This window comes from Homo sapiens, chromosome 21 (genome assembly GCF_000001405.40).
Source record: "Homo sapiens chromosome 21, GRCh38.p14 Primary Assembly".
NCBI classification, from domain to species: Eukaryota; Metazoa; Chordata; class Mammalia; order Primates; family Hominidae; genus Homo; species Homo sapiens.
In genome coordinates, this window is record NC_000021.9 from 24,533,213 (window position 1) to 24,548,948 (window position 15,736).

The 15,736-nt window shown below is 35.1% G+C and overlaps 1 long non-coding RNA gene across 1 annotated transcript in view; it reads left to right on the plus strand.

Annotated features, from left to right (window-relative positions):
- The window catches only part of LINC01684 (long intergenic non-protein coding RNA 1684), a 119,203-nt gene extending 104,473 nt beyond the window's left edge, over window positions 1-14,730 (plus strand). The window contains exon 3 of the long non-coding RNA NR_135519.1: window positions 12,783-14,730. This is a non-coding gene — a long non-coding RNA (long intergenic non-protein coding RNA 1684). The remainder of the gene's footprint in view (window positions 1-12,782) is intronic.
- The last annotated feature ends 1,006 nt before the right edge of the window (window positions 14,731-15,736 follow it).

The window sequence follows — 15,736 nt, forward strand, 5'->3', positions numbered from 1 at the left end:
TTTTTAGATTTAGGTGTAAATGTCTTTAACATTTTATATAATACTTTTAAAACTTTGTTATTTTCACATAGTTTAAATGTATGTGTAATGTTTTCAATGATATACAACATTTTAATACAAGCAATCACACATGAAAATAAATATGAAAATCAGTCACATAATGGGAAAAAGAGAACTATGTGTGTGTGTGTGTGTGTGTGTGTGTGTGTGTGTATTTGACTTTTGAGCAATGCAAGGGGATTGTGGCACAGCCCCCCTGCACAGTCAAAAATCCATGTATAACTTTTGGTTCTCCAAAAATTTAACTACTAAAGACCTACTGTTGACTGAAATCCTTACTGATAACATAAACAATCAATTAACACATATTTTGTATGTTATATTATCATATGCTATATTTTTACAATAAAGTAAGCTAGAGGAAAAAATGTGATTAAGAAAACATAACAAAGAGAAAATATATTTACTGATCATTAAGTCAACGTGGATCAAAATAAAGGTCTTCATCCTCCTCGTCTTCCTGTTGAGTAGGCTGAGGAAGAAGAGGAAGAGGAGGAGTAGGTCTGGATTTCTCAGGGCAGAGAGAAGAGGTGGAGGAGATTGAAGGAGAGGCAGAGTAGGCAGGCACACTTGGTGTAACTTTATGGAAATACATTGTGATTTTTGCTTGACTTTTTGCTTTTTTATTTTTCTGAAAATATTTTTATATGACACTAATCCTTCTATCATTTTCTCTAGTTTCAGTGCCCACCATTTCATAGGAATCAAAAGCAGTCTTGAGTAATTGGAACCCTACTGCCAAATTGCCTAAGATCCATTTATTTTCTGGCTGTTTCTATGTCTTCTTTTTCATTGTCTGGCAGTGGTTCAGAAGCACTCATCTCCATCAAGTCATCTTCGTTTAATTCCTCTGGTGTAGTAACTATTAGATCTTCTATTTCTCCATGACCTATATCATGGCATTCTTCACCAAACCCCATTGTTTTTGCTATATTCACATCTTTCATGATTTCCTCGATTGGCTTTTTATAAATTCTGTGAAGTCATGCACAACATGTGAACGTAGTTTTCTCTAGCAGGAATTTACTGTTTAAGGCTTGATTACTTTCAAGGCTGTTTCTATACCAGTAATGGCATCTTCAAAAGTGTAATCCTTCCAGACTTTTTTTTTTATTATTATACTTTAAGTTTTAGGGTATATGTGCACAATGTGCAGGTTAGTTACATATGTATACATGTGCCATGTTGGTGTGCTGCACCCATTAACTCTTCATTTAACATTAGGTATATCTCCTAATGCTATCCCTCCCCGCTCCCTCAACCCCACAACAGGCCCCAGTGTGTGATGTTCCCCTTCCTGTGTCCACGTGTTCTCATTGTTCAATTTCCACCTATGAGTGAGAACATGCGGTGTTTGGTTTTTTGTCCTTGTGATAGTTTGCTGAGAATGATGGTTTCCAGCTTCATCTATGTCGCTACAAAGGACATGAACTCATCCTTTTTTATGGCTGCATAGTGTTCCATGGTGTATGTGTGCCACATTTTCTTAATCCAGTCTATCATTGTTGAACATTTGGGCTGGTTCCAAGTCTTTGCTATTGTGAATAGTGCCACAATAAACATACGTGTGCATGCGTCTTTATAGCAGCATGTTTTATAATCCTTTAGGTATATACCCAGTGATGGGATGGCTGGGTCAAATGGTGTTTCTAGTTCTAGATCCCTGAGGAATCACCACACTGACTTCCACAATGGTTGAACTAGTTTACAGTCCCACCAACAGTGTAAAAGTGTTCCTATTTCTCCACATCCTCTCCAGCACCAGTTGTTTCCTGACTTTTTAATGATTGCCATTCTAACTGGTGTGAGATGGTATCTCATTGTGGTTTTGATTTGCATTTCTCTGATGGCCAGTGATGATGAACATTTTTTCATGTGTCTTTTGGCACATACATGTCTTCTTTTGAGAAGTGTCTGTTCGTATCCTTTGCCCACTTTTTGATGGGGTTGTTTTTTTCTTGTAAATTTGTTTGAGTTCATTGTAGATTCTGGATATTAGCCCTTTGTCAGATGAGTAGGTTGCAAAAATTTTCACGCATTCTGTAGGTTGCCTGTTCACTCTGATGGTAGTTTCTTTTGCTGTGCAGAAGGTCTTTAGTTTAATTAGATCCCATTTGTCAATTTTGGCTTTTGTTGCCATTGCTTTTGGTGTTTTAGACATGAAGTCCTTGCCCATGCCTATGTCCTGAATGGTATTGCCTAGCTTTTCTTCTAGGGTTTTTATGGTTTTAGATCTAACATGTAAGTCTTTAATCCATCTTGAATAAATTTTTGTATAAGGTGTAAGGAAGGGATCCAGTTTCAGCTTTCTACATATGGCCAGCCAGTTTTCCCAGCACCACTTATTAAATAGGGAATCCTTTCTCCATTTCTTGTTTTTGTCAGGTTTGTCAAAGATCAGATGGTTGTAGATATGCAGCATTATTTCTGAGGGCTCTGTTCTGTTCCATTGGTCTATATCTCTGTTTTGGTACCAGTACCATGCTGTTTTGGTTACTGCAGCCTTGTAGTATACTTTGAAGTCAGGTAGCGTGATGCCTCCAGCTTTGTTCTTTTGGCTTAGGATTGACTTGGCAATGCGGGCTTTTTTTTGGTTCCATATGAACTTTAGTTTTTTCCAGACTTTTATGATGTTCTTCCTATTGGGGTTTTCAACAATAGAAATTTTTTTTATTTTATAGATGTAGGGGTGTACATTTGCAGTTTGGTTACATGGATGTATTGCCTACTGGTATATAAGTTTGTTTTCACGCTGCTAATAAAGACATACCCAAGACTGGCTAATTTATAAAGGAAAGAGGTATAATTGACTCACAGTTTCACATGGCTCAGGAGGCCTCATAATCATGGCGAAAGGCGAATGAGGAGCTAAGTCATGTCTTACATAGCAGCAGGCAAAGAGAGCACACTCCCCTTTATAATGCCATCACATCTTGTGATACTTATTCACTATCATGAGGAGAGCGTGGGGAAAAACCCACCCCCCATGATTCAATTACCTCCCATCAGGTCCCTTCCCCAAAACAAGTGAGAATTATGGGAGCTACAATTTAAGATATGATTTGTGTGGGGACACAGCCAAACCATATCAATACTCAAATTTATAGTTGACAAAACTGAGATATAAATTGGCTAAATAACAAGTCTTAAGACTTGTAAATGGCAGAGGTTAGATTCAAATCCTCACTGTCTTACTCTACATTAACCACTACCCTATATTCCTTTTCATTTAGTGATTCATCTGCCAAACATTCATTTACTGTGATGCACCATTTTATAAATACCATAGAGCATATTTTAATAAGGCAATGGAAAGCTTCTAAGCTCTAGAAAAAAATAGAATTGTGACATTTTGTAATAGGTTCAAGGAAATCCTCAAGATAGTTAAAGTATGGAGAAAAATGGACTGAGAGTGTTTTTTAGGACTATTACAATTATTTATTTTAAAACAATCAAATTCTGAAATTTGATTTAAATATAAAATATGATTATGCTCAAAACGGTAATCAGTTCTCTCAAAAAGAAAACAAAGAAAATAAAAGACTCGGAGGAGAATATCATCATTTGAAAATGCAAAACCAGTTTACCATATTTTAGGTAATTTTTGTGTTTAAGATCCTCTCTAAAGATATTTTTGACACTATAGAAAGTTGTAAGACATTTTTTTAAGTGTATCAGGCCCTCAGGAAACAATTTAACTAAACCATGCTTCAGAAAAAACTAAAACTAAGTGGTTCAACTGAGCCTGATAATTGAAACCTAGGTTCCAAAAATTCCTGAATAGCTCTCTGGGACTATCTTAAGTGGTGAAAGAACCTGCCTCATTAGGGTATTCATATAATATTTCAATTATGCTAAATACATAAAACCTCAAATGCAGTCAACTTATAGAATTTTAATTTAAAGATTATTCTCTATCTTCCATGTTATCTATTTACCTAATTAGGAAAGAGCAAATACAAATATTATTTTTCTAACAAAGTGGCTGATAATAAATTTGTGAATTTCCGGTTGTTAATTAGAGAAAGAAATAAAGGAAAAATTACATTTAAATTACATTTCACAATAAGTGGTGGCTCACACCTGTAATCCCAGTACTTTGAGAGGCCGAGGCATGCAGATCACGAGGTCAGGAGATCAAGACCATCCTGGGTAACATGATGAAACCCCATCTCTACTAAAAATACAAAAAATTAGCTGGGCATGGTGGCAGGCACCTATAGTCCCAGCTACTTGGGAGGCTGAGGCAGGAGAATGGCGTGAACCCAGGAGGCACAGCTTGCAGTGAGCCGAGATTGTGCCACTGCACTCCAGCCTGGGCGACAGAGTGAGACTCCGTCTAAGAAAAAAAGAAAGAATTGTGTCATCCATTTCCCTGCTCATTTTATTGCCTCCTATAAAATTAAAGATAAGGCTAAGTATAGTGGCTCGTGCCTGTAATCCCAACACTTTAAGAGGCCCAAGCAGGAAGATTGCTTGAGCCCAGGGGTTTAAGACCAGCCTGTTCAACACAGCAAGATCATCTCCACAAAAAATACAAAAATTAGCTGGGTATGATGGCATGTACCTTTAGTCTTAGCTACTTGGGAGGCTGAGGTGGGAGAATTGTTTGAACCTGGGAGGTCAAGGCTGCAGTGAGCCATGATGACACCACTGCACTCCAGATTGGGCAACAAAGTGAGATCCTGTCTAAGAAAAAAAAAGAAAATCTAAAAGAAAAATTAAAGATAGCCAGAAATAATCACATATTAAGATGATTAAAATAATATGCCTAAATTGTTCATCATTACAACGAAATTTATTAGAGTCTTAAGAGTTAAAAGATGAATTGTTTTCAATAAATAAACTTGTATGTAGATTAAAACATTAGAGTTCACTAGACCTTATTGTCTCAAAAAACATTTCTCTCACATTAGACTTTCTTCTTACTTTAAAAATAAAACTTTTAAACCAACAATGTTAATTAGGCTTTATCTGAGCCCCAAATTCTTTAAAAATAATCAGTAATTTTAAATTTAAAGATTTTTTTCTGTCCCTTTTTTTTCCTTAGAGGGTGATTTGTATTTAATGTAATATATTTAAAACATGTACAATTATGATATTTCCCTAATTCCAATGTTTACAACAGCAAAATAATATTTTTGTGACAATTGCAAATGACTTTTTGTGAATTCTGCCTGTACCTTATATCTGGGAACTATCTACTAACATGGAAATGTAGAGAAAGCCAACAATTTTCCTAGAAAGATAGACTTATTCCTGTCACAGTGAAGGTCACACGTATTCCCAGGCCTGTTGAACATCTGAAGACAGAGATTTTGAAGACAGATTGCTTTTTTCCCTCTGCGTAGCATTTTGAAATATTTCTAAGTGAGGATAAAATATGACAGGCACAGAAGTGATTTCAAAAAAAAATGGTGGAGTAGGCAGCTCTAAGCTCCTTTTCTCACAACTAAAACATTAAAGAACAATGAACAACCGTCAGAACCAATTTTGTCAGAACTCTGAAAAACAGCCAAAGATTTATAGCAAGCAGGTGAACACTGAATCAAGAAAAAGGCAACTTTACAATGAAAGAGATCTGTTGCATTGTTACTTGCTCTTGTCACACCTCTTCCCCAGTTTGGTGGCAGTCCTAGTCCTGAAGACAACTGTCCGTGTTGCTAGGGTGCCATCCTGGTCCTTGGATTCAGAAAAAAAAAAAAAAAAGCATGCCTTATTCATAAATTATCGTGTAAATCTGTTCTTAGCTACCTGGAGACAAGCTGAAGGACTAATAAAAATGTACTCATCTCTGTTTCACTGAACTCACCTAAGGCCAGAAAAGCAGTAGGCATTTTTTGAAAACATTGGTGAATAACAAACCACAGATGTCTGGGGCTAATATTCATGGCTGAGACAGACATAAAATAGAATTCCTAAAACCGGGGAGGAAAATCTGCTAGACAGTTATTTGGGAAATTAGGGTGTTCAAAGTCACCTGTGTAGATGGGGGAACTTAGAAAGCTATACACATGATGAGGATAAGATGCATGATCAAAAAGTTTTGGAAGATCAGGGGCTCTCACCTTTGGCCAATCTCTAGACTCAGTGCAAATCTGGCTAAAAGTTTTGAAAGAGAGCTGCAGCATGAAATCCACTGGCAAAAAGTAAGAAACACAAGTTTTGATAGTTTGTTTGTTTTCTAGCTCCTAGTGTTCAAAGAAATGTATATTGAAACACTATATGCATATAGCTACCAAACAAAGTCTTCGGTAACCAACACACAGCAATGAATACAATCTCTGCAAAATAGTTGGGAAAAGTTACTAGACAAATAGATTACGAAAGCCTTCAAAATAAAAAACAAACAAACAAACAAAAAACACACCCTGGGAAAAGCAAAGAATCTGATTTCTAGAGTTACCACTTTTTAATATTCAAATATGCTGTTTTCAACAAATAACCACAGGGAATACAAAGAAACACACAACTATGTGTCATTTAATGGAACAAAGTAAATCAACGGAACATTAGATTAAATAGACAGAAATTAAATAGACATTAGATTAAATAGACAGAGATTGTCTTGGTTCCTTTTGTGCTGCTATAACAGAATACCTGAGACTGGATAATTTATAAACTATAGAAATGTATTTTTCAAAGTTACGGAGGCTAGGAAGTCTAAGATCAAGTCACCAGCTGGTTAATTGTCTGATGAGGGTCCTGTCCTTGCTTCCAAGATGTCATCTGTAATGCTTCATCTTCTAAAGGAGAGGAATGCTGTGTCTTCATGTGGCAGAAGTCGGAAGGGTGAAAGAATAAATTCCCTCATTATATAAGGGCACCTAATCCCATTCATGAAGGTGGAGCCCTCTTGACTCAATCACCTCTCAAGGCCACACCTCCCAATACTGTTGGGTGGAGGATTACCTTTCAACATGAATTTTGGTGGTGACAAAAACATTCAAACCATACCACTGTGTCCCTAGTCCCCCAAAATTCAGGTCCTTTTCAAATAAAAAATACATTCTTTTCATCCCAAATGTTAACTCATTTTTTTACCAACATAAAAGTCTAAAATGTAGAGTCTCATGTAAATCTGATATTTATAAGACTTATTTTATAGTATTTTGTAAGATTAGAATCTTATTTTATAAGATTTATCTTGAGGCAAATTTCCTCTAGAACTGAGAAGCCTGCGAAAATAAATTATGTGCCTCTAAAATTCAATGGTGGAACAGGCATAGGATAGATTTTCCCATTACAAAATGGAAAACTAGAAAAGAAGAAAGGGACAATAGATCTCAAGTAAGCAAAAACCCAATAGTGCAAACAAAATTAAATCTTTAGGTTAGTGAATAATGTTTGACTCCCTGGCTTACCTCCTCAACACAATGGGCTATGAATTGAGTCTCCAAGGTCCAAAAGCATACAACCTTCATGACTTTGTTAGGCATAGCCCACAGCACAGCTCCTGTGTGCTGGAGTTGGGTGCCTGTGGCTCTTTATGAGTGGCATTGCATACTGGTGGCTCCATAGTCACTGGGTACTGGGGACATCACAGCCACCAAGACTCTACTAGATATAGTTTTAGTGGGCACTTGCTGCAGTGGCTCTGCCCCTGTGGCAGGTCTATTCCTGAACCTCAAGGCTCTCTGAGGCGTACTTCTAAATGTAGGTTGAGGCAGCCTGCCTCCACAGCTCCTGTAGTCTGCATTCCTGCAAAATTAGCACTATATGGACTCTGCCAATGTTAATGCCTGTACCTTCTAGAGGTATAGCTCTTGACTCACATGGGCCTACTGGAGACATAGCTAGGATAATTAAGGAGCACTGTGTAGGAATGTGGGGAGCAGAGACATGAGATGGCCATGGATGTGTTAGGAAGAGTATCCTCAAAGATCTTCAAGATGTGTTCGAGGTCATTCTCCTAATGTCTTGGTAAGTAGCAAGTAGCTTCCTTCTATCCACATTAATCTCCTTACCAAACAGGCACTTGGCCACCGCCTTGCTTTTCCCTCCAAAACATGCTTTTTCATTATTTACATAGCCTGGCTGAGAATTTTCCAAATCTGTATGTATCAATCCTTTTCATTACAAAGCTTGTCTCTAAATCATTTCTCTCTTCTCAACTTTTACTATAAGCAGCTAAGAGAAGCCACACAGCATTCTAAATACTTTGCTTCTTAGGGATTTCTTGTGGTCAGTATCCTAGTTCACTGTCCTTAAGTTCTGCTTTCCACAGAGTCCTAGGATATGGATATAATTCAGCAAAGTACTTTGCCATTTTGTAACAAGATGAAAGACCCAGTTTCTAATGATATATTCTTCATTTCCATATAAGACCACATCAGAATGTCCTTTACTGTCCATATTTCCCCCAAGATTCTATTTACAACTACTTAAAAAATATCTTAGAATGATTCAATCTTTATTTGAAGTTTTCTCTTTTCTGTGCCCTCATCAGAATCACCCTTCAGTTTCAAGTTATGGCAAAACAAGCTTCTCAAGAATTCACTTCAAAACTTTTCTAAGCTCTACTTATTACCCAGTTCAAAAGCTGCTTTAACATTTTTAGGTATTTGTTATAGCAGCACCTCACTTCTCTGGTATCAGTTTCTTCTTAGTCAGTGTTATACTGCTATATCAGAATACCTGACACTGGATAATTTATGAAAAACAGAAATTTATTTAGCACAAGCTGGCAGCTGGGATGTCCAATATGAAGGCCCCGGCAGGTTTCTTGTTTGGTGAGCGTTCAGTCTCAGCTTCCAAGATTGCACCTTGAATGCTGCATCCATGGATGGGAAGAGCACTGTGTCTTCACATGGCAGAAGGTGGAAGGGCAAAAGAATAATAAACTCCTCCCCAGCAACTCCCTTCATACTTGTAATAAAGGCCCCTACTCCCTTTTATAAGGGCAGAAGCTCTAGACTCAATCACCTTTAAATGGTCACGTCTCCCAATAATGTCGCCTTGGATGTTGTTTCAACATAAATTTTGGAGGTGAAAATAGCATTTTAACTATAGGAAATATATTACAATAACTTTAAAATGTGTTCAAAGAGTTATATAAAGCACGGTCAAAGGACTAAAAGAAATAAGGAAAGTGTGGTATAAACACAATGATTATGTCAATAAAGACAGAGAAATTACAAAAAGGAACAAAACAAAAATTCTGGTGATAAAATATAATTACTTAAATCAAGTTTTATTAGAATGGTACAAAAGCAGATTAGAACAAACACAAATCTTCAAATTAATCTTTGGTTGGATGAATATAAAAACATTTGAGTTTTGAGAGCAGAAAAAAATGAATAAAATTGAACAGAACCCAAGGAACTGTGAAACACCATCTAGTAGAACGAAATACACATCATCAGAGTTCCAGAAAGTAAACCAAGAGAGAAAAAGAAAGAAAGAATGTTTAAAGAAACAATGACAAAAACCTCCAAAATTTGTTGAAAGACATAAACTTACAAATCTAAGAAATTCAATAAACTCCAAGTAGGGAAAAACTCAGATAGACACATACTGAGACACATAATCACTCTGTTGGATGACAAAGATGAAAGGAACATCTTGGAAAGAGCAATAAAGAAGTGACTCACCTTTTACAAGGGAATCTCAATAAAACTAACAGTTTCTCTTCAGAAACAATGGGAGCAGAAGAAGTAGTATGGCATATTTAAAGTATTTAAAGAAAAAAATTAAGTAAATGAGAAAGACCTTTACCAGATAAATAAAGACGAAAAGGTTTATAACTACTAGATCTGCACTACAAGAAATGTTAAAGGGAGTCCTCCAAGTTAAGATGAAAGAACCCTTGACAGTAACTTGAAGTCATATGAAGAAATAAGAATCTCCAGTAAAGGTAACTATATCAGCAAACATAAAAACCAGTATTATAAAATTTTTGGTTTGTTATAATTTTACTCTAAATTTATAAAAGTTTGGGATATGTGTGTGTGTGTGTGTGTGTGCAGGTGCACATTATTGAAGTCTAATGTGAAAATATTTCAAAAATAAAGCAAGTAAAAGTAGCATAAGGGCTGTGTTTTTCATTTTGTGGATACTAGAATATCAGAATTTATCATATTTTTCTCTATGATGTCTTTCTTAAGACATGCATGAACACAGGTTGTTCCACTACATATGCAAACAGATATATAAAGTCACTTCAAAAACAGGCTTAAAATGTCAGAATTTTAATGTGAAATTGAGAGCATTAGAGAAAAGTCTGTTTGGTATAAACCCTAGGTTTTCTCTCACATTTGAATATCATCCTATCTTTCATTCAGGTTAAATTCCTTCATCCCACTACGTGGTGCAGCCTGACAACATGCCTCAAAATCATTGATTCTTACCAGTGGACTAGGTCCCAGTTGTAACAACTGAAAATAAATTTAGCATCTGACTGAATTTCCCTTCATTTAAAATTAGATTATGGAATAACAATTTTTGAGGCAACTTACTTTATATTGTCTGAGATGCTTCTGTTGCATTAGCAGAAAGTCTGGGAAAAAGTAAGGTAGATAGGAGTGGGATAATAAAGGAGATACTGTGTTCCTGTTGGACCAGAGACCATACAGAAAACAAAATAGTTGAAATAAATATCCCAGAATTCTTCTTAAGAATATATTTGCTAATCTTTTCAAATCATTATGAGTTTGTCTTTGTTTGTTATGGATGAAAAAGGACATTTTATGGAATTAAGTTTTGATATTATTTTTTCCTCTTATATCAGTTAGAAGCGTATGCACTACTTTCTGCAGGAAGAATACTCTGGAAGAGAAGATCATTAATAAGTAAATTTTTGCAGGTGGTATTGATTGGAACAATATTTTATACAAAACATAAAATTGTCATTGCATAGTAAGTCAGAATATGCTGCTTTTCTTTAAAATATGAAATATGTTTCAAAATGAAGACAAGGATGAGGTAGCATTGTATTGAAATGGCATTATCTGCAGATTTTCCTATAAAGCTATAGATCGTGCTTCAACTCTATGCATTTAACACATTCCAGAGCTCCCATTATATTTAAATGATGGAGCAAAATCACAGATTTCTACTGACACATTGTTTTTTCGAAAGAAATAAATTTGAAAGATAACTGGCTTGCAACGCCTACAATTTTATGTAAAAACCTTACTTAATCACATCAAATAGAGTGTTTGTCAGCTGGAAAAAAAATAGTTCCTTCTTAAGCTTCTAAAAAAAGATGCCACCTTAAAAAGTATTCAAATAAGAGCGATATGTGGGAAACCTCATTCTTTGGCAACTTATCACAACAACTGATTATGTATTTAAGCATGCATAAATATACTTTCTATACACATTTAACCTAAACTGATAACTTTTAACCCATAAACCAATTAAATTAAATCATTCCAAAGTGATCTTACATTGCTAGTGTTATAATAAGCAGGTTTTTCCTAGCATAACTATTTTTCAAAATTTTGATTGTGTAGAGACTCAAAGTAAATAACAAGATAATCTATGATAAAACATATCTAAAACATAAAGTCCAAAGTTTAATTGCTCTGTGTTTGTTGATTTTCATGTATACATTGCACTCCTTGTTGTTGACGATGGTGTGGCATTATTCAGAAACAAATAGTTTCACTTAACGGATTCACTGATAAATACCAGTGATTTCATTAGAGATTTATGCTATTGAAATTACTCAGATATTTATCAGTGAATACACTAGTAATTGGATAATTATTGGATCATAATTTGTGCTAAAATACAAAGTTTTTAAAAATCTTTTATTCCTTTCACTCATTCTTTCATTTGTTCAACAAATAGTGACTTGGTGCTTCCTATGTGTCAGCATTGCTCTGGACTCTGATTCTGGCAGTGAGGCAAATATGCGATTGTTCTTAGAACTTTTATTTTTAGTGACAATGGGCAAATATTAAACAAAGTAAATATTTTAACTACTTAAAAGTTTACAAATACTTCAGAACTAAGGCAGGGGAAGGAGAAAAGGTTTCCAGAAGTTGGAGAGTTTATTCCAATATTAAGTAGCGTTATAAGAGAATATCTACTAAAAAGATAATATTTAATCAAAGAACAAAGAAAAAAGGTAGCAATGTTGTGTTCTAGGGCAAGAATGTTGAAAGTATATAAAAAAGAAAGTGCAAAGTTTCTGGGCTGGGGTCATATCTTTCCATTATACAAAGGCATCCAAGGAGGAGCCAGAGAGAGAATAGTAGGATATAAGTAAGAAAAATAATGCAGGGTCAAATTATACTGGACATTTCAGGCCTCTGTATAGTCTATTTTTTGCTATTACAAGTATTGGCAAAAAAAAAAAAGTGAATTACTTTTAATGGCAAAAACCGCGACTGCTTCTGCACCAACCTAATACAAGGACAATGGAATTTATTGTTTGTTGCTATAAGCACTAATGCCTTTAACAGAGAAAATGACAGACTCAAATCAGCCAATTGGTAATTGAATGCATGGTAGGAAAGTTACAATGTATCCATGGGATTATTTAAAGAGACCATAATTTCTTGGAAGTGGAATGTAATTGATGCTGATGATCTGGCCCAAGATCTGATTATAAGAGGAGTAGAATTTCAAATTGAACTGTTTTCTCAGCAAGTCAAAATCAGGGTCATAAAGTGAAGGGACAGGACCCAGAGAGAAGTGATTCAGGAACATTAAAGAACCAGATCTCCTCGAGCTCTCTAAACCTAAAGAAGTGGTTCACTTTTCTTTTTTAGACTGTAACAGACCCCTGGAGACTTCCCACTGGACTCCCCTGAGGCAGATATTTTGCAAAAGAAAACTTCCCGCCATGAGATCTTTTCCCACATTCCCTCTTGGCAACTTAACCAGAAGATAAGGTTAAGTTCATTTCCACGGCCTTTAGAACCTCTGGACCTTATACATGAGAAAAGACATCATTCATGGTTGGAGTCACTGGACCTGGTTAATATGTACCAAAAGGAAACAGAAAAAGCAGTTCTGGTGGCTACATCTTGCAAGTACTAGACCAGAATATAAAGCTGGATGAGAGAGACTTTGATGATATGAAGTACTAGGGTTTAAAGGGAACACCGAACTCAGTGGATTGCAAGAGCATCTGACATCAGCCCTACTGTGCTTTAGGCATGGCTCTTGGAAATATGACAGACCACAGTACATAGTGTGAAGTTTCTAGACCTGCCCTGATACAGTGTTGTGGAACCAATATAAAGACTGAGTCACTGGACAAGCTAGAGTGACTGTGTACTTCAGGATTAACAAAAACATTAGTTTCACTAAGTTTATAAAGATTGAAATTTTTACAGGCTTAACAGTGGCTGTTGTCTATAGGCCAAGAAGGATTAGCAAGTAATGCTCTTATGAAACAAATGTTGAAGATGATATACAATTCTAGAAGAGCAAAGGAAAGGTGGTAGCATGTAATCAGTACAGAGAGATAAGGACCAACATAATTTCCATGCCAGTTATCAGCAACTCAACAGCTGAGGAACTCTATTATGTAGGAATCTAAGATCATGGATGAGCTATCATCACAGTTTTTAGGGGAACTATAGAAAGGCTTCCAATAAGGATTTTTGTACATGTACATATATATTCAGAAAGCAGCTAATGTGGAGAAGCAGAAGGTCGATGTCAGCCACTCCAGTGGAAATTTCAATCACTCATCTACTTTCCAAGCTTGAGCCAACTTTCAGACTGAGAGTCCAATAATTAAAGCAGAAGCTCTGTTTTTCTGAGAAATGACCTGATGGCAGAGCAAATATATACTGTAAAGATAATTCTCTTCCTCTACTCAAAGTGTCTGTAGCCGCAGGTACATATGGAAAAGGGAGCACCCACATTTTTTGATATAGTGTGTGAATTGAAGGAAAGTCAACTTTTACCATAGCCTCCCTTCAAGAGTGGGTACATATGAAAATCAGGTAATAAATTTAGTTTAACCACGAATTCATTTCACAATGGGTCCAATGAGTCCATATATGCACAATAAAACTTTATTTCCTGAATTCATAATTTAGATATACATACATAGTAACTGGCAGAACACTCACTCTAGTTCCTTGAAATGTGAATGAATAATAATTGTCATAGGAAAGGTCAAGGAAAAGACTGAAAAATGTCTTTATACCACAGCCAAGAGACTTCATAAAGCAATATTGCCTTCCAGATACAATAGAAGAGATCAGTGCCATTTTTAAAAACCTAAAAAGTTGCAGAGGCAGTTTCTACTGTATTCTCATTTCAGTCACTTGTGTGGCCACACAAAAATCAAATACATGATGGCAGATTGCAGTGAACTCTAGGACACATACCCAAATGGTAGACATACAAAGCTGTTCTGACAAGTGTGATATTACTGGAATGGGTAGACTTGGGTATGTGATACGTGTTAATTCTTATTTTTAGTTGCAGAATTATAATTAGACACTTTTTTATAAATTTAAGATTTTGGTTAAAAATAATATATTTGCTTAAACATAAAACACAGTATGTATTTTTTTATTGCTACAGGTGACGATGTTTCTCCAGTTTATAGTGATCAAATTTTGTTATCCATTGAGTTCTAGGAAAGTCTTGAATTTTAATGTTTTTAGACAGAAAGTTTCAAAGGCATCTTTATTGTCAATAAGCTCTTCAGCTTGGATAAAAGGTAAAAACTAATAAAGGATTCCATTTACATTTGTTATGTCTCACAATTTGTATTTTCTTGGATCCAGGCAAAATGTTTAAAAATCTAGTTAAACTCATTACATAAATTTATACATAACATTTTTTCTAACTTTGTTTGTCAAGATAATCTTATAAACAATGTATAAATAAAATATAATATACTAATCTCAGGAATTGATGCCACATCCTGAAAATATTAGCTGAAAATACCTGGAAATAAATGTGCAAAGTTCTATGCATTACAAGAAAGAAGCATGTTTAGATAAAATTAACTAGGTTGTTATAAATACCATCTTCAAAATTATTGTTAACCCTACTAAAGGTTATAAAATGTTTTTATTAAAATTTATTCAATCATTTACCAGAGTAATAAGCAAAGTAATTGTCATACATGTAAATATAGAATTTACAAAATTAAATATTCAAAATATGAAAATGAAACATTAACTGCAAATTGTATAGCATTCTTTCATTTATTTAACCTCTCTGACCAAAGCAAGCTCGTTCATGTTTGTCAAGCAATTGTTCTTTGACTTTTTTGAACTTGGTTAAAATGGCACTTTAATGAAATAATGTGGGCATAAAATGGAAAACAATAATTAAAGGCTTTTCTTCAATTATACATTATTAGTACCTAGTTTTTCCTTCACTTAATGTTTACCTTTCCAAGGCTAAGACCAGAAGACATCTGGAGACTCTAAGGAGAGTACTAGATCTGTCAAATATTTCAATATATACAGCTCTCATTCTTCTTTTCCCAATAACCTAGTGTAATTTTAGTAAAACAAAATTAATAGTATTCAGTTATAGACATTTTAAGCCTACTGGTGTGTGTGTGTGTGTGTCTGTGTTTGTCTGTGTGTGTGTGTGCATCTTGGGCCTATTTTTTAGAGAAAGGAAAGGTAAGAGTTGGTTTATGCTGTGTTTGGTCATATGCTTACTTAATACTTTTTGTTTGAAACAATAGCCAAATAAATAGATAAATTAATTAAAATGACCAGCTAAATTGTCACACAAA